The sequence below is a fragment of the Homo sapiens genome, chromosome 9 (genome assembly GCF_000001405.40).
Source record: "Homo sapiens chromosome 9, GRCh38.p14 Primary Assembly".
In the NCBI taxonomy this organism is placed as follows: Eukaryota; Metazoa; Chordata; class Mammalia; order Primates; family Hominidae; genus Homo; species Homo sapiens.
The window spans coordinates 133,978,147-133,999,916 of NC_000009.12; the positions used below are offsets into that span (position 1 = coordinate 133,978,147).

General features: G+C 58.3%; 1 protein-coding gene across 9 annotated transcripts in view, besides 19 other annotated features; it reads right to left on the bottom strand.

Annotated features, from left to right (window-relative positions):
- VAV2 (vav guanine nucleotide exchange factor 2) overlaps positions 1 to 14,178 on the bottom strand; it is a 230,431-nt gene extending 216,253 nt beyond the window's left edge. For all 9 annotated transcript variants that reach the window (NM_003371.4, NM_001411028.1, XM_017015109.2 and 6 more), the window contains exon 1: positions 13,929 to 14,178. In NM_003371.4, coding sequence (NP_003362.2) covers positions 13,929 to 14,132 — 204 coding nt within the window. In that variant the 5' untranslated portion in view covers positions 14,133 to 14,178. The remainder of the gene's footprint in view (positions 1 to 13,928) is intronic.
- Positions 533 to 1,050: an enhancer, noted in NCBI's record as "H3K27ac-H3K4me1 hESC enhancer chr9:136843801-136844318 (GRCh37/hg19 assembly coordinates)". NCBI's record gives its function as "activates a minimal SCP1, AML or CMV promoter by ChIP-STARR-seq in naive H9 embryonic stem cells {active_cell/tissue: H9 hESC(naive)}" and the evidence as "EXISTENCE:reporter gene assay evidence [ECO:0000049][PMID:30033119]".
- Positions 1,564 to 1,613: an enhancer, noted in NCBI's record as "active region_29266". NCBI's record gives its function as "activates an Ori minimal core promoter by ATAC-STARR-seq in GM12878 lymphoblastoid cells {active_cell/tissue: GM12878}" and the evidence as "EXISTENCE:reporter gene assay evidence [ECO:0000049][PMID:35858748]".
- Positions 1,564 to 2,082: a biological region, named in NCBI's record as "H3K27ac-H3K4me1 hESC enhancer GRCh37_chr9:136844835-136845350".
- Positions 1,567 to 2,082: an enhancer, noted in NCBI's record as "H3K27ac-H3K4me1 hESC enhancer chr9:136844835-136845350 (GRCh37/hg19 assembly coordinates)". NCBI's record gives its function as "activates a minimal SCP1, AML or CMV promoter by ChIP-STARR-seq in naive H9 embryonic stem cells {active_cell/tissue: H9 hESC(naive)}" and the evidence as "EXISTENCE:reporter gene assay evidence [ECO:0000049][PMID:30033119]".
- Positions 5,045 to 5,789: an enhancer, noted in NCBI's record as "H3K4me1 hESC enhancer chr9:136848313-136849057 (GRCh37/hg19 assembly coordinates)". NCBI's record gives its function as "activates a minimal SCP1, AML or CMV promoter by ChIP-STARR-seq in primed H9 embryonic stem cells {active_cell/tissue: H9 hESC(primed)}" and the evidence as "EXISTENCE:reporter gene assay evidence [ECO:0000049][PMID:30033119]".
- Positions 10,309 to 11,036: an enhancer, noted in NCBI's record as "H3K4me1 hESC enhancer chr9:136853577-136854304 (GRCh37/hg19 assembly coordinates)". NCBI's record gives its function as "activates a minimal SCP1, AML or CMV promoter by ChIP-STARR-seq in naive H9 embryonic stem cells {active_cell/tissue: H9 hESC(naive)}" and the evidence as "EXISTENCE:reporter gene assay evidence [ECO:0000049][PMID:30033119]".
- Positions 11,037 to 11,764: an enhancer, noted in NCBI's record as "H3K4me1 hESC enhancer chr9:136854305-136855032 (GRCh37/hg19 assembly coordinates)". NCBI's record gives its function as "activates a minimal SCP1, AML or CMV promoter by ChIP-STARR-seq in naive H9 embryonic stem cells {active_cell/tissue: H9 hESC(naive)}" and the evidence as "EXISTENCE:reporter gene assay evidence [ECO:0000049][PMID:30033119]".
- Positions 11,765 to 12,492: an enhancer, noted in NCBI's record as "H3K4me1 hESC enhancer chr9:136855033-136855760 (GRCh37/hg19 assembly coordinates)". NCBI's record gives its function as "activates a minimal SCP1, AML or CMV promoter by ChIP-STARR-seq in naive H9 embryonic stem cells {active_cell/tissue: H9 hESC(naive)}" and the evidence as "EXISTENCE:reporter gene assay evidence [ECO:0000049][PMID:30033119]".
- Positions 12,493 to 13,220: an enhancer, noted in NCBI's record as "H3K27ac-H3K4me1 hESC enhancer chr9:136855761-136856488 (GRCh37/hg19 assembly coordinates)". NCBI's record gives its function as "activates a minimal SCP1, AML or CMV promoter by ChIP-STARR-seq in naive H9 embryonic stem cells {active_cell/tissue: H9 hESC(naive)}" and the evidence as "EXISTENCE:reporter gene assay evidence [ECO:0000049][PMID:30033119]".
- Positions 13,221 to 13,948: an enhancer, noted in NCBI's record as "H3K27ac-H3K4me1 hESC enhancer chr9:136856489-136857216 (GRCh37/hg19 assembly coordinates)". NCBI's record gives its function as "activates a minimal SCP1, AML or CMV promoter by ChIP-STARR-seq in naive H9 embryonic stem cells {active_cell/tissue: H9 hESC(naive)}" and the evidence as "EXISTENCE:reporter gene assay evidence [ECO:0000049][PMID:30033119]".
- Positions 13,331 to 13,770: a silencer, noted in NCBI's record as "silent region_20466". NCBI's record gives its function as "represses an Ori minimal core promoter by ATAC-STARR-seq in GM12878 lymphoblastoid cells {active_cell/tissue: GM12878}" and the evidence as "EXISTENCE:reporter gene assay evidence [ECO:0000049][PMID:35858748]".
- Positions 13,811 to 13,900: a silencer, noted in NCBI's record as "silent region_20467". NCBI's record gives its function as "represses an Ori minimal core promoter by ATAC-STARR-seq in GM12878 lymphoblastoid cells {active_cell/tissue: GM12878}" and the evidence as "EXISTENCE:reporter gene assay evidence [ECO:0000049][PMID:35858748]".
- Positions 14,171 to 14,320: a silencer, noted in NCBI's record as "silent region_20468". NCBI's record gives its function as "represses an Ori minimal core promoter by ATAC-STARR-seq in GM12878 lymphoblastoid cells {active_cell/tissue: GM12878}" and the evidence as "EXISTENCE:reporter gene assay evidence [ECO:0000049][PMID:35858748]".
- Positions 14,381 to 14,480: a silencer, noted in NCBI's record as "silent region_20469". NCBI's record gives its function as "represses an Ori minimal core promoter by ATAC-STARR-seq in GM12878 lymphoblastoid cells {active_cell/tissue: GM12878}" and the evidence as "EXISTENCE:reporter gene assay evidence [ECO:0000049][PMID:35858748]".
- Positions 14,581 to 14,890: a silencer, noted in NCBI's record as "silent region_20470". NCBI's record gives its function as "represses an Ori minimal core promoter by ATAC-STARR-seq in GM12878 lymphoblastoid cells {active_cell/tissue: GM12878}" and the evidence as "EXISTENCE:reporter gene assay evidence [ECO:0000049][PMID:35858748]".
- Positions 14,581 to 15,490: a biological region, named in NCBI's record as "H3K27ac-H3K4me1 hESC enhancer GRCh37_chr9:136857945-136858672".
- Positions 14,677 to 15,404: an enhancer, noted in NCBI's record as "H3K27ac-H3K4me1 hESC enhancer chr9:136857945-136858672 (GRCh37/hg19 assembly coordinates)". NCBI's record gives its function as "activates a minimal SCP1, AML or CMV promoter by ChIP-STARR-seq in naive H9 embryonic stem cells {active_cell/tissue: H9 hESC(naive)}" and the evidence as "EXISTENCE:reporter gene assay evidence [ECO:0000049][PMID:30033119]".
- Positions 15,301 to 15,490: an enhancer, noted in NCBI's record as "active region_29267". NCBI's record gives its function as "activates an Ori minimal core promoter by ATAC-STARR-seq in GM12878 lymphoblastoid cells {active_cell/tissue: GM12878}" and the evidence as "EXISTENCE:reporter gene assay evidence [ECO:0000049][PMID:35858748]".
- Positions 16,338 to 16,437: a silencer, noted in NCBI's record as "silent region_20471". NCBI's record gives its function as "represses an Ori minimal core promoter by ATAC-STARR-seq in GM12878 lymphoblastoid cells {active_cell/tissue: GM12878}" and the evidence as "EXISTENCE:reporter gene assay evidence [ECO:0000049][PMID:35858748]".

A 21,770-nucleotide genomic window follows, 5' to 3' on the forward strand; every position in this document is an offset into this window, starting at 1 on the left:
CTGGGCAGGGCTGGGGAAACTGCCCTCCCTGGCCCGCCGGCCAGAGGATGCTGGTCCCAGGGTCCACTAGGAGGATCTCACTGCCACCTCCTCCATTGCAGGCTGGGGGACCCTCTCCTACTCCAGCCACTGCAGAAAGGATCCCCCTGTGGAAGGATGACCCTGGAGGCAGCCAACACAGCATTTTTTAAAGTCCTTAACAACAGAAGACAGGCAGGCACCCCCTCCCCACCCCTATGCAGATTTCAAAGAACACAGGGCTGGGAGGCCTTGAGGAAACTTGGAGACGGGCTCCCCAATCCTGGGAAGGCCACAGCCCGCAAGCACCTGGCGGGTCACGGAAAGATACCGCGTGTTCGCGCTGCCTTTGAACCCAAAAGTACAAAACAAACCAACAGAAATACTGATGACTTCAGGGCCAAGCTGGCCTAGGGGACAAGGAGTAGGTCTGTGAGAATGATTTGTCTTCATCCTTACACAAACTCTGTAAAGACTGACAGATGAACCCCACAAAACAGAAACACTGTTTCCAGCAGCATCAGGATTGCAAAACCTGCAGCTGCCAGGCAGCAGGAGACCTAACTCAGGGGCGCAGCCGCTCAGTCTGGCCCAAAGTTCAAGCTCCCACTGCCCAGTCCTGTCCCCTCCACGGTCCTGTATTTGTCATTCTTGTTTATCTTTTGGATTCAGAAGCCAAACAGCGTCCCCAGCTCCAGGCAAAGAGTCCTTCAGAACACGAAGCTTCAGGGGACCAAAAACCGGGCACCTGAGCCTGGGGCTGGCCCCGGTGAAGAAGGGGGCTCATCAGAGCTGAGGGGGTCAGGGCAGGGGAGTTCGCTGGGTTTAGGGTCTCCTCCAGCCAGCTCCTGACCCCAGTGTGAGAGCAGGTCTGCAGGTCCCGGAGCGCCCACCCCAGCCGCGTCAAGTGGGCACATGGGGAGGGGCACTGAGGCTTCGGAAGAGCTTTCGTGCCAGGGGTGGTGGTGTCGGAGAGGCGAGCTCATGGCTCCACCCTGCAGGGGCTGGGAGACATGTCCGCCGAGCACTTCCCACTTGCCAGGCACCGGGCTGACAGCCGGGTCCTCGGCCAACCCTTGGGAGGGGCTCCTAAAATACCCCCTTTGACAGCGGAGAATGCAGGGTCCAGAGAGGCGCCACGGGTCTGCCACGAGGTGCTGAGCCAGGATCTGAACGCGGCTGTCAGAGGCTCAACGCTGTGTGTGCGGTCTCCACCCTAGGAATGTGTCGGCCGCTCAGTGCCCAACCACACACGAAGCCAGGCCCAGAGGAGATGGGTCCCCAGGCAGGGGCTGCATGAGGACGGCTCGGCTCCCAGGGCAGCAGGAAGGAGCGGACGCCGCAGCCGTCCGGAACTCGGACAGAGGATGTTGACAGGGAGGGAGGACAAGCAAATGAAGACTTCCTGCAGCAGAGACACAGAGCCCGGAGCCACGGCCGCCGGCAGGACAGGCAGCCAGGCACTAATCCGGGCCCGGCCCCGCCTCCGGCCATGTCCCAGAGCCCCACCACTGACCTCTGGCCCACGAGGACCTCCTGCTGTCAGCCTGCTGACTTTGCCAGGGCCCCGAGCTCCCCAACAGGCCCCAGCTGAACTCACTCAGCTGAAACGGCATTCGGGGAGCACAGGTGCTAGTGGTGAGGGGAAGGCGGCGCCAGCTGCGCACCCCACCGCCCTGTCACCTCATCAGGGAGCCTGCCGGCGTCACCTGAAGGCAGCCCTGCCTTCTGCCTGCCTTCTCTCTCTCATCTGAAAGTGCCATCTTCCTCTCTCCATTCATCCTTATTCTGTGCCCCCTCCAGAAAGCCAGCAACACCAAGCACAGGGTTTCTGCCTCTGCGGCTCAATGCCACGAGCCAGTGCGCGACACACAGAGTAGGGTGGAGAACAGGCTGGGCCACCAGCCACCCGGGAGCAGGAGGCCCAGGACCGGAAGCCATGTGGCCAGAGGGCAGAGCTGGTCAGCCCTGGGGCCATCTCTGGACTCAGGCACCTGGTTCTCTGTCTCCCAACCTCCCACCAACCCAAGGGGCCATTTTGCCGGTGGAGGGGGGAAGTGAATGGCGCTCCAGAGGCAAGAGACCTGCACGGGCTGGCACGAGGCCTCAACCCCCACACAGCTGCATGACCTCAGACTGGCCCGTCACCTGTCCCTCCTTCATCCATTAACCAGGGCAGAGCCGCCCCCACCTGGTGCTGCCCAGAGTCTTCCAAGGACCAGGGGAGGTGCCAGTGCTGGGCGGTCCTGAAACAAACCCACCCAGAATAGAGAAAGGGCATGTGTCAGGGCAGAGGGGCCCTGGCAACAAGATCTTTCCCCAGGGCACTGGGGTGCTGCCCCCGACCCTGACACCGCAGAGGCTGATCATCACCCAGCTGCCCGACCAGCCATGGGGCATGGCCACCTCTCTGGAACCTTCTATCACGCATCTCCCTGGGTCTCAGACTCATCATCTGCTGCAGGGAAACACCATCCCCTGCAAGGCAGAGGGAAGAACACCAAGCAGGTGGCCCAGTGCCAGCCAGGTCGAGCTCTGCAGTGAGCGGCAGCCGCTGCCTTATGTCTCTACTCATCAGAGCTGGTGGCATGCAGCTTCCTCTGCCCCAACTGCTGCTGGAACGCAGATTTCAAAAACTGCAACACCCCTTCCAGCAATGATCCAGGATGAAGCACTGTGGCAGCGCCTCCAGTCTGTGGCCACACAGAGCCCTCTCTGTAGAACAACCACCTGTCTCCAACCCTTAGCTACCAAAAGCCATCTACTTTTCAGGGCATCTCAAGTACCACCTCCTCCGGGAAGCTCTCCGCCATCACCCTGCCCCCAGGGATCTAAATACCTCATTTGCTGAGGACTAGCACAGCTTGCTGTTGACCCTGCCAACAGCAAAGCCTGCACGTGCCCCATCTTCGCCCAGTCAAACCCAGGAGGCCCTGGGGAGAAGCAGGAGACGGGGTGAGGCCCCTTCTTCAGCGTCCCGTGTTGCCAGCAGGTTTTCCTCACTCATGGTCCTCATGTGAGTATTAACAGCTCCCTTCCCCATCTCAGACTTAGGTGTTGTAGGACCATCTGGCTCACCTGATTCTGCTTGCCCCAGAATGCCTCCTTCTGCAGACAGGCACTAGTGACCACGACCACACCCCCCACTATACCCGTGCAGTGTCCAGGTGCGCCCAGCAGCGCGCCCAGGGCTTCACCTTCCACTTGGCGGCGAGAGGGGAGGGGAAGAGAGGTGGGTAGTGAGGCGGCAGTCTCAGGAAGAGAGCCACTCCCTCAGGCCGCCCGCTGCACTCTGCTCTGATGCTGAGGGAGGGCAGGCGGCGGGTGAGGGCCGGTGCCCTTCACTGGGAGTGAGCCGCCGGGCTCGGGGTGAGGGTGCCGAGTCCTGAGGCTCAGTGGGCCCTGCTGTGGGGTAGAAACTGCGCTGGGCGCCAGACACACACTTTTTGCACCAAATCTTTCCAAGAGTCTGCAAGGTGGCCACCGTCATCCCATTTCAGACAAGGAGGTTGAGCTCGAGGGACACGGCCACCAAGAAGATGCTATGTGTGGCCAAGCGAGTGTGGTCCCCACTGCCGCCCCTGCGGGCCACTCATCGTGTTTCCAAGCATTTCCAAGGATCTCTTTCTGGCAGTGTCATTCCAGACACGAGGAGCCCGGCCTCTGTCAGGAAAATGGGGCTGAGAGCAAAGCCCCCTCTAGACTGCCCCAAGGGCGGGGGTGGGGGTCATGGAGGCGCTCAGCCCGCTTCCTGGCACGAAGAGGGCCTGGGAGAAAGCTTTGCTCTTACTGAGCACTTGCTGTTGGACCAGCCCCTGCCAAAGGCTTTAGATACAAATGGAACAGTAAATGCAACAAACTGTGCGACCCGGAAGGGGAAAGCCCGGGGGACCAAGAGCCCTTGTCAGGGGACTCGAGCAGGCCTGGGGGCAGGAAAGGCTTCCCAGGACAGGCCTCTAAGCAGATGGCAGCAGTGAGCCAGGCAAGAAGGTTCCCCTCCAGGGAACTGCAGGGGAAAGGCCCTGAACTGGGAGGCACAGGAAGGTGGCCAGTGTGCCTGAGGCTGGGGCACCGAAGGCCAGGGAGACTCGGCAGGGGCGACGGCCGGCCGGCAGGAGGGTGCCTCCAGGGCAGGAGCACCAAACTGTGCATGGCTGCAGCACACGTGGCCGCAGACTAGGCTTGTGGGGCAGGAGGCCGCAAGAGGGGCACCTGGGACGGGGCACGGCCAACCAGGCTGGCAGGGCAGGAGGCCACAAGAGGGGACCTAGGACGGGGCATGGCAGACTCTGGCTGGCAGGGCAGGAGGCCCCAAGAGGGGGCCTAGGATGGGGCGCGGCAGACTGGCTGGAGGGGCAGGAGGCCACAAGAGGGGACCTAGGACAGGGCGCAGGAGTCTCTGGCTGGCGGGGCAGGAGGGCGCGGCAGACTCCGGCTGCCGCCTGGTTTTGGAGGGCTGGCCGCTGTGCTTTGCAGGGCCCACCACCTGGTTTTGCAGGGCGCGCCGCCTGGTTTTGGAGGCCCCACTGCCTGGTTTCATAGGGCCCGCCGCCTGGTTTTGTACATCCTGCAAGCTAAGAAAGGTTTTTACGTTTTTAAATGGTTGAGCAGGGTGGTGGGGGAAGCGTAAGAGTAATATTTCATGATATGTGAAAATGATAACACATTTCAAATTTCATTCTACAAAAATAAATTTCATGGGAGCATTGCCACGCTCCTCCGTTTACAGACCACCCAGGGCTGCTGTCGTGCTGCAAGGGGAGAGTTGCGTAGTCGTGACAGAGACCGTCTGGCTCAAGAAACCTAAAATATTTACCATCCAGGCCTGCGCTGGAACATCTGCCGCCACCTGCTCTAGGAGAGAGACGGCAGTGGCCGGGCTGGGACACCGGCAGAGAAGGAAGTGACTTCAGGGGCAGTCAGGAGGGAGACCTGCTGGGGCCTCAGCTAGGGGCTCGGGTCTGGGCATCTGCATAAAGCCAGGGTCTTCCACACTGGCCCCACCAGGTTGCCAACGCTGTCCCTGTCCTGGGAGTCCCACCCCTCAAACTGGGAAGCCACAGCCCACAGACATGGCCTGGACACAGGGACAAACATGTGTCCCTACAAGTCTCCTCAAAAGAGGGCATCACGCTGCCCACCACCCAGGCCAGAGCCCAGCGTCCTTCCAGGAAGACAAGGAAGATTTCCTCCAGGAGGAGACATCCTCATGACCTGCGCCCCATAGCAAGAAAGGGCTCAACAGAGGCACAGGGGGTGGGGCGGATGCTCACCCACGCCAGGCCCCCACCAAGGTCCTGCCTCCATGAGTCCACCGCCCTGAGGCCAGGGCCCCGACCCATCTCCAAGTCCCAAACCGCAGGCAGACACGGGTCACTCTCACGGCGGCCCCCACACCTCACACCCAGCATTCCTCCCGGTCTCATCCTGCCCCACACCAACGCCAGGATTTTTGCAATCACAACGCTCGGCAGAGAACTCTCTCTCTTCGCCAACGCCAGGCTATGCTGTCCTTGCAGCCCCGGGTCCTTCCTACTGACCCCAGGCCTGAGCCTGGAATCCCACTCAACACAGCCCTCAAGTCCCACTCCCGGTCAGTCCCTGTCACTAACAGCCAGGGCTCCCACCCCACCCCACCCCACCCCACGCTCCCCGGCTCCTGCCCAGCAGGAACGCCAGTGCTCGCAAGATGAGTGTTTCTCACCCTCATTTTCGTTACTGTCCCTCCAAGGAGGCTTTTCAGATATTTTTCCTAATCTCCCTCCCTGCATGAAATTTTCATACTGCAGGTGCACTGTTTCTGTGAGTTTTTTGTTTTTTCTTTTGAGATGGAGTCTCACTCTGCCACCCAGGCTGGAGTGCAATGGCGTGATCTCAGCTCACTGCAACCTCTGCCTTCTGGGTTCAAGCCATTCTCCTGCCTCAGCCTCCCAAGTAGCTGGAATTACAAGTGTGCACCACCACACCCAGCTAATTTTTTGTATTTTTAGCAGATACGGGGGTTTCACCATGTTGGCCAAGCTGGTCTCAAAATCCTGACCTCAGGTGATCTGCCTGCCTCAGCATCCCAAAGTGCTGGGATTACAGGCGTGAGCCACTGTACCTAGTCTGTCTCTGTGTTTTGTGTGGCATGCACATCTGTAGTTTATTTGTGAAAATAAGATTTCTTCTGACTGCAGTGGCTCATGCCTGTAATCCCAACACTTTGGGAAGCCAAGACATGAGGATCACGTGAGCCCAGGAGTTCAAGACCAGCCTGGGCAACATGCAAGCTCTCATCTGTACAAGAAATTAAAACATTAGCTGGGCGCGGTGGCACACACCTGTAGTCCCAGCTACTTGGGAGGCTGTAGTGAAAGGATCCCTTGAGCCCAGGAGTTTAAGGCTGCAGTGAGCCATGATCACACCACTGCTCTTCAGTCTGGGCAACAGAGTGAGACCCTGTCTCTAAAAATAATTCATAATAAGAATATTTCTTCATCCCCAAAGATTTGATTTTTGCCCCCTCAAGAGCAGTAATGCCCCTGTTGAAAATGCATAGGCTACCAGCATGGCCAACGTGTCGAAGCCTTATCTCTCCTAAAAATACAAACATTAGCCAAGCGTGGTGGCAAAAGCCTATAGTCCCAGCTACTCAGGAGGCTGAGATGCGATAATTACTTGAACCGGGCAGGCAAAGGTTGTAGTGAGCCAAGATTGTGCCACTGCATTCCAGCCTGAAGGACAGAGGGAGGCCCTATCTCAAAAAAAAAAAAAAGCATAGGTTAAGTAAAATATATTATTATAATCAGTGCTACCTATTTCTTTTTGCTTTTTTATTGCAGCCACCAAAATTCTGAAAATACAGATGTGGCTTACATTATATTTCTATCTGGCAGCACTGATATAGACAGAAAACAAATACCCATGTCAACATGTATAGACACATATGGATACAGAGACACATACATAAATAAATACATACACACACATACACCAATTCCCCAGGTGTGAACACTGAGAGTGCCTGGAAGCAGGAACACCCCAGCAGCACTGAGCACACCTCATCCTATCTTGCCTTATTGTGTGTGTGTGTGTGTGTGTGTGTGTGTGTGTGTGTGTGTGTGTGTGTTTTGTTTTTGTTTTTGTTTTTTCTGAGATGGAGTCTCACTCTGTCACCCAGGCTGGAGTGCAGTGGCACAATCTCCGCTCACTGCAACCTCCGCCTTCCGGGTTCAAGCGATTCTCCTACCTCAGCCTCCCGAGTAGCTGGAACTACAGGCGTGTGCCACCACCCCCGGCTAATTTTTGCATTTTTAGTAGAGACGAGGTTTCGCCATATTGGCCAGACTGGTCTCAAACTCCTGACCTCAAATGATCTGCCCACCTAGGCCTCCCAAAGTGCTGGGACTGCAGGCATGAGCCATCGCGCCCGGCCCTGATCTTGCCTTCTAAATACCCCTCTCCACTACCAAGGAACCAGAGCTCCTTGGACAAACAGCTGGTTCTTAAGCTGGGACAATGGAAATGCAAGGTAAGCCTGGAACATCTTGTTGACCAGCCTGGGTTACCAGCCAGAAAGTCAGGCACGGTATTCACATGTCCTCTGCAGCTCGAAGAATGATGAGGACGAATCAAAAGACACAGGGAAGCAAGCCGGTGTAACACAGTTCCCACTGGTCAAACCTGAGACTATGTGAGCATCAATATAAATAATGATGGTAACAGGTTATATGCATGGAATAAAATAGGAAACCATAATCCAAACTGGAGACATGGCAGCAAGGGACAGAATGAGGGAGGGAGAGAGGGAAAAGAAAAGCAGAGATGGATGAGAAGAAAAGGAAGAAAAGACTGAGAGAGATGAGCAGAGAAGGACAAGAGAGGAAGGAAAGGAGGGAGAAAAGGAGAAGCAAATATCAAGATATTTATATTGACTCAAAGTATCTTCTTTAAGTACGTGTTAACAGCAAACGGAAACCAAGTAACTTTACAGTGAAATCAAGCAAACTCCACCTTCACCAAGTAACTAAACAGAACATCACCAGCAATGGGGCACAGCCAAGCCCTGGACCACCTGCTAGGAGGCAAGAAGGATGCAGCGTGGAGGCGGAGCTAGACCCCTACAGTTGCGTGACCTGACGCTGCTGATGGGGGAGCATTCTGTAACCAAAGGAGGCTGTAACCTTCCAAAGAGTCAAGGTCATGAACATCAAAGAAAGGCTGAGGAGCAGCCCCAGGTTGACAGAGGGGGACACAGCCACAGGCAGCCCAGGGTCCTGAGGCTGCTCTATGCTATGAAGGGCATTTGCTGGGACAATTGTGGAGAAGTGGACGGGTCACGGATTGCTGCTGTTGGCTGGATGGAGACGGATTGATGCTGTTGGCTGGATGGAGACAGCAGTGCTGTGGTTACAGAGGAGAATGCCCTTGTTTGCAGTAAACGCACTGATGCCCCATACTTACCCTCAAATGGTTCAAGAAAAAGTTACCTGTGTTGTACTCATAACTTTTCCAATGACTGAGATATTTTCAAATTTTTTTAGACAATAAAATCTATCCCCCCCAAAAAAAGAAAAGACGCCCTTGTCTTCTTTGCAACCAGCATTCCCTCCTCTGCTCCCGGCAGCCCTGTGTTGTGGACCTCGGCTACACCAGCCCAGCCCCTTCTGCTGGCACCAGGGGCCCTTCGGGCACTTCCATGTCGCTTTTCAGTCACCAAGCACCTCATCAACATCCACTGGGGTCCTTGCGTGACCAGAAGCCTCATGAGAGCAGGGACAGCCCCGGCCTGTTCTCCTCCCTCCCCTTGGAGGCACAAAGCCTGCGTGGCACACAGCAGGGTTTTATTATTATTATATTTATTTATTTTATTATTATTTATTTATTATATATTTATTTATTTATTATTTCTCGAATGAAGGCACAAGGTTCTGAGGGACCCAGAGAGGAGGAAGCCCAGCCGTGGCCCTGCCTTGGAGGGGCTCAGACCTGGAAGGGGGGCAGCCACACAAAGGTGCTCCAGACACACTGGGTCTGTCATTAGGATCATCCTTCACACTCTCCAGCTGTCCAGCTGCTGAGTTTTGCAGAAGGAGCAGCAAGGGTATCGTGTGATGAAACAAAGAGTTTCATTACACGAGGCCAGAGAGAAACCTGGAACAGTGGAGGAGTGAGATCGAGGTTCAAAGCGCGTGGAGGACAGGGTGGGGAGAGGGTGAAACCCAAGGAGGCTGCCAAGGGGAGGGAGCCCCTATACCAGCTCCTACAGGAAGAACCAGGCTAGAAGGAGAGAAGGTCTTCCAGCAATGGCACAGCTCACGATGGCACACATCAAAAAGGCCCGGAGGGGGGGATGCCAAAACCATCGCCAGGCTGGCGTGTCCGGGAAGAGGCAGGGAGCACAGGGAGTTGAGGTGGAGGTGGGGGACAGACTCTGGCAGGCCCAGGGCCAAGCCTTTGCGTGGTGTCCAGCAATGGCTGCCTGATGTGTTTTACGAGGAGGAGGCCACCAGGACGATGTGGGCAAGTCAGAGGCTGGGCGGCGGGTGGTACCTTAAGGGTGCAAACTGCTGATGCTGGCACAGGCAACCTCGGGACCTCCCAACCGAAGCTGCTCCAGACACACCCGATTTCTCGTTAGGGTCAGCAGATTGTGGCCATACCCAATTAGTTTAATTAAACCCACGGGGCTTCCAGGCACTTCAGATAAAAAACAAAATAAAATAAAGTAGATCCTGCCAGCTTCAGAAGAAATGACCAGGTGGGCAACTGGGATCTCTGTGACCACCTCCTAGCACCCGGCTCTGCACACAGCAGGTGCTGCATAAATGCACGTTGCTATGATGCTCCATTAGGGCAAATAACCCAGCCCAGATTAAACTCAAAGTGGGAGGGGCGCTCCAAGTCCTCTGAAAATAGGATGTCACCATGAGAAGCCAGGGGAAATTCTGGAAGGAGGGAACATCATAGAGGCCTCCGGGCTAGACGGCCTCATATGCCATGACTGGCAGGGAGGTGGGCAACTCCCCGCCGTGTGCGCTCGAGGGGCCCTGCAACTCACCAGCCAGGGATCACAGGCACCCACCCCCCACCCCTGCCACCCCATGAAAAGAGACACACACCGTGACAACCCAAAACCCAAGAATGAGGCCAGGGACATCCCTCAGAAAGTCCACAAGAGAGTAAGCCAGCTTAGGAAGGCCTGCAGTCATCATTTATTTAAACAGTCCTGGGAGGGAGACTGCAATCCCTATGTTGGTTTTGCCACTTACTCCTCTGGGCAGGAGTGGTGGGGTGATGGGGAGTCACTCAAGCTCTCCGGAACCTTGACGGCCTCACCTATTAAACACAGGCAGCAACCCCCACCTAGGCTTGTGCTTAGGCCACAGCAGGGCAGGTAAGAAAGGGCAGATGTGATTTTTCTATGACCCAACCACCAAGGGTGGAGATGACTTCTTCCCTCTCCCATCCCCACCCCTTAAGAAACGTGAGTTTCAGCCGGACGCGGGGGCTCACGTCTGTAATCCCAGCACTTTGGGAGGCTGAGGCGAGCAGATCATGAGGTCAGGAGTTCGAGACCACCCTGGCCAACATAGTGAAACCCCGTCTCTACTAAAAATACAAAAAAGAGCTGGGTGTGGGTGGGGCACTGTGGCTCACGCCTGTAATCCCACCACTTTGGGAGGCCGAGGCGGGCAGATCACAAGGTCAGGAGTTTGAGATCAGCCTGGCCAACATAGTGAAACGCCGCCTCTACTAAAAATACAAAAAATAGCTGGGCGTGGGCCAGGCACGGTGGCTCAAGCCTGTAATCCCAACACTTAGGGAGGCCTAGGCGGGTGGATCACAAGGACAGGAGTTCGAGCCCAGCCTGGCCAACACGGTAAAACCCCGTCTCTACTAAAAATATAGGCTGGGTGCAGTGGCTCACGCCTGCAATCCCAACACTTTGGGAGGCCGAGGTGGGTGGATCACCTGAGGTCAGGAGTTCAAGACCAGCCTGACCAACATAGAGAAACCCCGTCTCTACTAAAAATACAAAATTAGCTGGGCATGGTGGCGCATGCCTGTCATCCCAGCCGACTTGGGAGGCTGACGCAGGAGAATCGCTTGAACCCGGGAGGTGGATGTTGTGGTGAGCTGAGATAGCGCCATTGCACTCCAGCCTGGGCAACAAGAGCAAAACTCCATCTCAAAAAAAAAAAAAAACAAAAAATACAAAAAATTAGCCGGGCATGGTGGCAGGCGCCTGTAATCCCAGCTACTCGGGAGGATGAGGCAGGAGAATTGCTTGAACCCAGGAAGTGGAGGTTGCAGTGAGCCGGGACCGTGCCACCGCACTCCAGCCTGGGCAATAGAGCGAGACTCTATCTCAAAAAAAAAAAAAAAAAAAGCTGGGCGTGGTGGAGCGTGCCGGTAGTCCCAGCTACTCAGGAGGCTGAGGCAGCAGAATCGCCTGAACCCAGGAGGTGGAGGTTGCAGTGAGCTGAGATTGCGCCACCGCACTCCAGCCTGGGCGACAGAGCAAGACTCCATCTCCAAAAAGAAAAAAAAAAGTGAGTTTCCCAGAAAACAAACACCAGCCACACAGAGAAACGAAGTCTTTCTCCCAACCCCTGTGTGCAGCCAGATGCAGTAAAGTGGTTTCTCCACGTTGAATGAACAGGCGGGGCTGTCACAGCCAATGTGAGGGTTAAGGGAGCATCTGCAGCCGTCCCCGTGCAGGCAACAGCCGTACAAAGGTGGCCCACCCTCCACGGGACAGAGGAGTGGATGGCAAGATCAGCCTCAGCGACACAGGGCACTACGTGCCACAGTCCAGGTGACGGTCATTTCCTGGGCACTGTGCGAAGGGTGTGCCTTCTGTGCCTGCCCTTAGCAAATCCTCACAGCATGGCTACGAGGGGACTGCTATGACTGTTCTCATGACAGAGATGGGGAAACTGAGGCTCTGGAGGTCGTTGCCTACCTGGGAGGGGACAGTGCCAGGATTCAATCAGAGCGGAGAGCCACACAGACACACACCCATCTGGTCCTCCTACCATCCAGGCCCCTACACGCCCTCCACGAGTCCGGCAGCAGGGCCCCTAAACACCCCTCTACCGGCCCAGCAGCGGGACCCCTAGACACCCGTCCACCCCCCAGCAGCAGGGCTCAAGGGGCCTCTGTCAGGGTTCGTATTGCTGCCTGGCCAATGGCTCCAGAGACCCCAGGAAGTCTCTGGCTTGAACTTCCAGTGCAGGAGCTGAGCCAAGCCACCTGCCACAGCCACGGCCCCCTCCTCTTCCCATCTTCCCAAACCACAGCTGGGGAGGGGCAGCCCCCGGACCCAGCGAGTCCACCAGGCAAGGCTGGGCTCCTCCCAAGCCTCCTCTGTGCGGACCCAGCTGCCCTGCCTCTGCCCTGAGCCCCAGCCTGCAAGCAGCAGGGAATCCTGCCCGAGCAAGTCAGCCTGGGCAGCCCCTGGAACTCATATCAAAGGCAGCCACCTTGGTTCGAGGCCCAGCCCTGCTCCCCAACAGCTACCCTTCTCCTCAGTTTCTCCAGCCATAAAATGGAGTCCAGACTTCCCAGTCCCCGTGGGGCTCTGAGAACAGATCCGGGGAAGCCCTCTGCAGCAGTGACCGCCACCCCCGCCACCTGCACCTGACCACTGACATCCTGCGGGAAGAGGCGCTGGCTCCCAGGGAGGCCTCTGAGGGCTCCTGCTAAGCCGGTCCAGGCAGTGCTGGGTAATCATTACCCAGTGGGAAGGCGGCCCCTTCCCCTCTGGGCTTGCCTTTGTCAGCGCCCCCCAACCCGGCAGAGAAAGGCCCGGTCTCCTAGGAAACGCAGTCACCGCCAAAGGGCAGAGGCCTCGCTGCCCAGCCTGGAATCGCTGGTGACTCACTCTCCCTCCTTCCCAGGAACCACGTCCTAAGTCCCACTGGTGAATGGTCCCTCTCCACATGGAGTTGCCACTGCGCGCGGTGAGGGGCTGCTGAGCTGGCTGGAAGACCGCACCTCCTCGGCGCTGGGTGGACCCGGCTGCCACCCGCTCTGCCTCCCCCGACCTCTTCTAAGCTGCTCCCGGTAAGGATTCCGCGACCCCCGGAGAACAGGACGGAAGCCTCGATTCTCTCAAGTCTTAGCCAAGTTCCCTCTTAAGAGGCCAAGAAAAGCAGCTTCGTTCGGCTGGGCAGGCATTTTCCTGCCTGGCCCTGCGGCCGCACGCGTGCCTCCGCCGCGACAAAGGCCACACTCAGCGCCCGAAGGAGGGGTGGGGGTGTTGGGAAAGCGATGGGGGCCAGGACTGGGGCCAAGTGGCCCTGGGGATCCTCGAGGCGGCTCGACCCGGGAGCCAGGACTGGCGCCAAGTGGCCCGGGTCCGGGTCCGGGAAGAGGCGGAGGCCGGCGAGGGGGCGGTGCCCGGGGCCAACCCAGCTCCCTCCGGCCCCGAGGGCTCCCGCCCCGCGCCCCTCCCGGGCCCTCCAGCCGCGCCCCGGGCCGGCGCAGCGACCGCGCCCGCTCTTCCACCGGCGTCCGGCCAGGAGGCGCGAGGCCCAAGGATGCGACCCACGACGCGCACACCCGGCTCGGCAGGCTCCCTGGGAAATGAGGGGCCACTCGCAGGGCCCCGCAGAGCGAGCGCAGCGCCGGAGCCTCCCCCATCCCAGGCCGCGCAGACCGCGGAACCGGCGCACCAGAGCAGTGCCCGCGGGCGGCGGCGGCGCGACCCAGGCTGAGGGGACTTTGGCCAACTTCGCGCCTCCTGAGGTCGCGTCTCGGAGGCCCGGGGCGCACCCTCCAGCCGCCCGCCCGCGTCCCGGAGCCCGGCCGCCCCAGCCAGGGCGCCTGGGCCGCCGCCGCTGCGACCTCCGCGTTCAGTCCGCGCGTCGGGCAGCGCGAACGCCGCCTCCCCGGGGCCCTCCCGCCCGCCGGGCGCTCACCTGGGACATCTGCGGCCGGAAGTTGATGTCCTTGAGGTCGATGGAGCCGGGGGAGAGGTTGTGCAGCAGCTGGCACAGAAGGACCCCGTCGCGCAGCGCCTGCGCCAGGTCGAAGACCACGGCCGAGGGCCACACCACCCGGTGGTTGGGCGGCAGGACCTTGCAATCGATGAGCCAGCGGCCGCACTGCCGCCACTGCTCCATGGCGCCCGCGGGCCCGACCGGCTCAGGGCAGTGCTCGAGCCAAAGTGCAGCGGCCGCGGGGCATCCCGCCCGCGCGCGCGCGGGGCTCAGGGCCGGGGCGGGGCTTCGCGCGGGCTGCCCCAGGTCCCCCGCTGCGCCGCCGTGCGTCCCCTCCTCTTCCTCCTCCTACTCCTCGGGCTCCTCTCGGGCCGCCGCTCCCGCCCACGTGCGGCCGCGGGGCGGGCAACGGGCAGCGCGCCGGATCTCCCCGCTTCACACACGCAAGTGCCTGCGGGCCCCGGGCCGGGCTCCACGCAGCCAGTCGCCGCAGCGCTCCCCAATCCGCGCCGCCGGGCGCCGCATTCTGCGCTCGGGGCGCCCCGCGGCCGCCGCGGCTCCTGCCCCGCCCGAGACAAAGGCCCGGCGGGGTCGCTCGCTCCGCGCGTCCCGGGCCTGGGCCGCCCGCGTCGCCGCCGCTTTGTTCGCCCCACCCGCAGTCCCCACGCCCGGCGCTGCGACTCGACGACTCGGCGGCTCGGCGGCTCCACGGCTCCGGGGCGCTGGGGGCGCAGGGGGCGCGGCCACGGCCGGGCGGGGCAGGGGCGGGGCCGGAGCACTCGCCTGGCACCTCCCCGTGTCCCAAGCGCCGCCCCCGCCCCCCCACTTCCTGCCCCGCTACCGCCCGCGAAAGTTGCGGTGGGCGGGGGTTGCGGCGCAGGCCCAGGTCCGGCCGACTTTCTCCAAGGGCGCTCGGACTTTGGGGAGCCCTTCTCCCTGGGGGAGCGACCTCGCCCGTGGAGTGATGGCCGGGCGTCCCCCCGGGTGCCTTTGGTCCTCCGTGGAGGTCAGGAGGTGGTCCCTGTCGCGCTGGGCGCCCTCGCATGGCCGTTCGGTAACGACAGACTCGGGAGAGGGCACCGGGCTGGGCCGAAGCTTACTGAGCCCCCTTGGCCCATCAAGCCGCCCCGGCGGGATACCCGAGGCTGAGGCTGAAGGCACACGGGCCCAGGACTCCCAGAGCCCTCTTCCTGTCCTCCGCCCTGGCCGGGGGCCCATAGGAAGACCCCCGACCCTGCATAAAGGCCAGGATTCCCCAGCTTTTGGCCAAAGTCCTGGCCACTCGCAGCTGCCCAGCGGGCAGTTCCTGGCGTCCAGGGCGGAATGCGTGACATGAGTGAGGGCAGGAAGGTGCTCTCCGGCCCAGGGTCGCAGCCGGCCCCGGTGCTGATCCGCCCTGATCTCCCTTCTAGGCCACACCCTGGGTGGTGGGGGCGCGGTCTGTCCAGCTGGCAACGTGTGACGGTAGGAGGGGCTTCAAGGACAAACAGATTCTGCAACTGAAATTATATGGATCCTGGCTCAGCTGCCGGGAACCGCGGGTTTTCACTGCTGATTCACTGGGGGACACCAGGCAAGTCCAAGCCCTTCTCTGAGACTGGCTCAGCCCGGAGGCTGGGGTGCGGTGTCTGAGGGCTCCCACCCTGGACTCCGGTGGAATCCTGGGCCTGTATGAGCTGGGGCTGCACTGCAGCCCCCGGACCCCTTACCCCGTGGCTTCCCTGCGCAGGGGCCGGAACGGGGATGCGAGCGCAGAGAGGGTCCCCTGGGCCCAGGGCCTCCGATGGGGGTCCTGTCCTGGAAATTGGTCTCTGCAGAGTCAGACTCACCCCTTCTCCACTGAGGTGGAAGCAGGGGGTCCCAGCTTAGGGTCTGGCCCGTAGAGAGAGGTCAGGAAGGAGCTGGCCCCTGCAGCAGTAAACTCAGGCCAGGTGGCTGGTGAGGCGGGGGCTCAGGTCTCTTGCCCTTCCCCGAGGAAGCAGCAGTGGGCACCTTTAGGGCAAGGGGGAGAGCTTTCCTCACCGAAGCAAGATGGGGCAGCAGGTGGACCCATCAGCATCTCCCTAAGAAATCAGAAAGCCAGGAGTGAAACCTGAGCGGGGCCCTCCAGCCCCATCTGAGAGCCTACACTGATCCCTCCTCCTGCAAAGCCTCATCCCCTCCTCTCTAGAGCGGGGAGACCCGGCTCCCACTGGACTTGCTTGTGAAGAATGGACGGATAAATTACCCAGAGGCTTCCCACTGTGCTGGGACAGAAAGGGCTCAGAGAGGAAGAAGAGCTACCCACTCTCCCAACCCCTCGCCTGGACCGCCGGCGCATTGATGCACTAAATGTCTCTTTCCCCAGGTGGCTCCCTCAGCAAGAAGGGGGCCTCTGTCCTCACGGTCCTGGGCCTGCCTGCTCTGGCCAAGAGGACCAGCCAGGTCTGGGACCCAGGCAGCCGCCCGCCAACAATGCCATGGGTACCTGCTGCCCCCTGGTGGTGCTGTCACCACGGGGCACCTGGCTGCACCCAGGAGGGGCTGCACAGAAAATCTGGGGTTGACCGTTGAGAAGACCCAACTCAGGAGACACAGACTTCACCACAGTGGCCCTGAGCCACTCAGGCCTCCCTGGTTCCCAGGTCCTGATCGGCATAGGACATTCACCGGCCCTGTGCACCTCCCAGAATCCTTGGAGGCTCTGAGGGCAGGATGGATGTGAATCAAAGAACAAAAGTTTGGTGGGGCCAGGTACAGCAGCTCAAGCCTGTAGTCCCAGCACTTTGGGAGGCTCAGGCAGGCAGATGGCTTGAGTCCAGGAGTTCAAGACCAGCCTGGGCAACACAGTGGGTCCCTGTCTCAAAAATAAAATAAAAGGTAAAGAAAATGGGGCAGGAGCTCCCTTTGTAACCTTTAGTGTGAGTGTAATGATGAACAGGTTGAGACTGTGGACTCAAGGCACATGCCAGGAAGACTAATAGAGAGGACGCTGTTTGGGAAAATCCTACCACCATCCATGTCCACTTGGACTCAGGGCTGTCTGCCAGGACTGCCTGCTGCACACCTCCAGGGGGCGAGAGTCCCATCACACCTTGGAGATGGGCTCCAGGGGGAGCTGCTTACACAGACTGCCAGTGAGCAGCTGCCAGTCCAGCCGAGCAGATTAAACCAGGGAGCAAGAAGTGCCAGCATGGGCCACATACCCCAAGTATGGGGGAGGGTCACAGGTGGCGGAGGAGGGCACCAGGCAGGGCACACCCGGGGAGGGAGCAGCAAGGCTTCCAGGAGAAACTGAGGTTTGAGTTGACAACCAGAGATTGATCATGGTTGCAGTGACTAGGAGAGGGTGACATGGAGGATGGAGAGCTTGGACAGGAGTTGATTTTTAAACCACAAAGGAATTCAGTGTTGCCATGATCTCAGGCATTGAACAATAAACCGCAGTGTCCTCCTGAGCTCCTGTCTCATTCTCCCCGGCAGCCATGTGGGCAGCGAGTCCCAGCAGTCCACCTTCCTGTTCTGTCCAGCATCTGCCCCCTCCTGGCCCACCCCCACCAAGCCCCAGGCCCCCTCTCCTTGGACCCGCTTCCACCCTTCCACCTGTCCTCCGCAGCCAGCAAGGACCCAGTCGGCCCTCAGTGACACCCTGTCTCTCTTCTGCGCGGATGGGCACCTCGGGGCTCCCGCCTCACTGGAGGTAAAATCTAGCAAATCACTGTAATTGTAATTTTTAAATCCAATATATTCTTTCATGGAAGCCACAGATGCGTTAAACTGATCCAAAGACAGCTTATAAAAGGCAATGTAATCGGAGGCTGGACGTGGTGGCTCATGCCTGTAATCCCAGCACTTTGGGAGGCTGAGGCGGGTGGATCCCTTGAGTCCAGGAGTTCAAGACCAGCCTAGGCAACAAGGTGAAACGCTGTCTCCACCAAAATACAAAAATTAGCCTGGCATGGTGGTGCACGCCTATAGTCCCAGCTACTTGGGAGGCTGAGGTGGGAGGATCACTTGAGCCCAGGAGGCAGAGGTTGCATCGAGTCGAGATCGTACCACTGCACTCCAGCCTGGGTGACAAAGTGAGACCCCATCTCAAAAAAAATAAAAAATAAAAGGCAATATAATCTTATTTATTGACTTGTGGCATATTTTAACACTATCGCTATGTGAATTAACGTTACACTACGTAAGATTGCAGTTACGTCGCACATTGTCACTTTCAAGCCGTTATATTTTAACAGCATTCATAGTTGCAGTAACCAATCCTGTGTCTTGAGTCTGAGTGGCCGGCCTAGGTGATGGTCACCTCCTTTAAACCACAAGCCACTCCATCACTTCTAGTCACTGTTATTGTACTGAGTGGTCCAACATAAAAACCAGCTCACCAAGCACATTGGTGAGCTGCCCAAGGTCACCCAGCAACACAGGAAAAAGCCAAGTCCAAACGCCAGGCCTTATTGACACCTGTGTGCACCCCTAAATAGAGGCTGCTGCTGAAAGGGCTTTCCACGCCTAGAACTTTCTGCTTTCCCTTAATGCACTGATGTGGGTGGGGAGGTGACGAGGGAGGGAAAATGATCTGATGTCTAGAACACGTGGATACGGAGTCAGCAACAGAGCGCAGTGCCTGGAGCCCACAGGCACACCCCCCCGCCCCGCCACTGTGGTACCGAAATGAGCCCTTAGTACAGGCAGGAGTAGCAAGGCTAAGAAACGGGAGCCGAAGGGTCCGACACTGACTTAAAGGAGGGAAGGGCAGCTGGAAGTATATCCACGCATCCTGGAGGTCCTGGAAACCTGGTGACTCTTGGATCCTCGGGGTCCCAGAGAGGAGACCTTTGGAGGAAGGAGTGGGTAGACAGGTGGCTGCCCTTATGTGGGCAGCATGGCTGGGCTTCCCCTCTGGCTTCTCTGCCCAGTCACTCACACCACGAGTGATGCTCCACCTACAACTCAGCACGTCCTTCCTGCACCCAGGCCCTGAGCCAGGACCACCCACACCCTAGGAGGCGAGGACTGTCATCGTACTGTGCTACAGATGAGGTCGGCTCACATAGCTTGAGTGACTTGGCCAAGGTTATGCAACTGGCAGAGTTCAGATTCGAACTCAGGTCCACCTTCTCCTATGCCTCCAGCTGAGAGGTTTGCTTTTGTTTTCTACTGATAAATAATGATTTCAAGGGCAGTGGCACAGGACAATCTGAGTCCACGACCGGCCCAGCGCCCCTCCCCTGGGTTTCTGCAGAGCTGCCCTCATCAAATTGGTGTCCTCATTCTCTGGGCAGCCCCAGGGTCTGGTTTCTGAACAGGAATACATGTGTCCCTTAGCGCGTTACATGCCACAGTGGAAGGGCTTGAGAGTTTACCTCTCACTCAAGACTGTTTCTTTCCATACAGGCCCTCCCAGAGAACCTCCATACAGCCAGAGTGGGCACTGTCTCAGTCCAGTATTCCCCCAAAAAACACCAAGACCTGCTGCAAGGTCTCAGTACTTTTCATCAAAAGGTCCAAGGCTCAGGGGACCCTCATTCCACAGCCAGCATCCCAGGGATAGACTGAAGCTTCTTCAAAGGAGCTCCGCCCAAGGCTGGAGTCTGTCCATCATCCCTCCACCTGCCCCTCCATCCATCCCTCCTATATCTTGCTACCCACTCTTCCATCCATCCGTCTCTCAACCCATCCTTCCATCCATGCCACATTCCTCCACTCATCCCTCCATCCATCCCTCCTTCCATCCATCCCTCCCACATTCCTCCACCCATCCCTCCATCCATCCCTCTCACATTCCTCCACCCATCCCACATCCCTCCACCCATCCCTCCCTCCATCCATCCCACATCCCTCCACCCATCCCTCCCTCCATCCATCCCTCCCTCCATCCCTCCATCCATCCCTCCCTCCATCCATCTCTCCCTCCATCCATCCCACATCCCTCCACCCATCCCTCCACCCATCCCTCCACCCATCCCTCCACCCATCCCTCCTTCCATCCATCCCTCCATCCATCCATCTCTCCCTCCATCCATCCCACATCCCTCCACCCATCCCTCCTTCCAACCATCCCACATCCCTCCAGCCATCCCTCCACTCATCCCTCCCTCTACCCATCCCACATCCCTCCACCCATCCCACATCCCTCCACCCATCCCTCCACCCATCCCTCCACCTATCCCTCCACTCATCGCTCCACCCATCCCGCCGTCCTTCCCTCCATTCACCCCTCCATCCATCCCTCCCACATTCCTCCACCCATCCCTCCCTCTATCCATCCCTCCACCCATCCTGGAATCCACTCTTCCACCCATCCCTCCTACATCCTTCCATCCTTCCCCATCTATCCCTCAACCCATCCTTCCATCCATTCTTCCACCCATCCCTCCCTCCATCCATCCCTCTACCCATCCTTCCACCTATCCCTCCATCCTTCCACCAATCCATTCCTCCACTGTTCCCTCCATCTATCCCTCCGTCCACCCATCCCTCCACCCATCCTTCCACCTATCCCTCCATCCTTCCACCAATCCATTCCTCCACTGTTCCCTCCATCTATCCCTCCGTCCACCCATCCCTCCACCCATCCTTCCACCTATCCCTCCATCCTTCCACCAATCCATTCCTCCACTGTTCCCTCCATCTATCCCTCCGTCCACCCATCCCTCCACCCATCCTTCCACCTATCCCTCCATCCTTCCACCAATCCATTCCTCCACTGTTCCCTCCATCTATCCCTCCGTCCACCCATCCCTCCACCCATCCTTCCACCTATCCCTCCATCCTTCCACCAATCCATTCCTCCACTGTTCCCTCCATCTATCCCTCCGTCCACCCATCCCTCCACCCATCCTTCCATTCATTCTTCCACTCACCCCTCCTATGTCCCTCCCTCCTTCTCCCATCCCTCAACCCATCCCTTCACCCATTACTCCCCCATCCATCCCTCAACCCACCCCCACATTCATCCCTCCCTCCATCTATCCCTCCACCCATTCTTCCGCCCATCCATTCCTCCACCCATCTCTCCATCCATCCACCTATCCCTCCATCCATCCACCCATCCCTCCATCCATCCACCCATCCATCTCTCTATTCATCTCTCCATCCATTAAATTCATCTCTCCACCCCTCCCCCACCCATCCCTCCATTCATCCCTGTATTCATCCCTCTGTGTATCCCTCACATCCCTCCACCCATCCTCCATCCTCCACATAGAAAATACTGACTGAGCACTGGCTTTGTTCATGAGGAAGGGCAAGTGAATGTTTTGACTCTTCCCAACATGATGGGATAAAGGAATTATTCTCATGTCCAAACCACATGAACACACACATTGTGCAAATTCCATTTGTAGCTACATCATGCAAATTCAGCTGTCACAATTTCCTGGGAAATTATAGGTGTAGAAAAAGACCATCTGGCCCACCATGCAGTCAGAGTATGCCTGACTGAATTATTGGGTGGGGGCTTTTACATTTTGTTTGAAAGGGCAAAATATAGATTTTTTACTTCTTGTTCAACTTTCAAAATTAAATCAAATGCCATAATCCATGGATCGTACCCTAAACTGAAATCTCTGAAATCTCACTGCCAAGTGGCCATTGTTTGGACACCTTCCAGTGACTATTTAGGAGACCGGGGCAGTTTTCTGTGAGCACTGCCTGGAGTCTTTGAGCTCATGAGTTCAGGGTCACCTAATCAAGGCTTTAAGGAAGGGGGAAACAGTCTTCCCTCCGTGAATGTGAACGGACTTCATGCAAGTGTAGGCCAGAGGCTGGGCAGCGTGTGGAGGTGGACTTGGGATCTCTGCAGGAGCCCTCTCATCACAGCCCAGCAGGCCAACC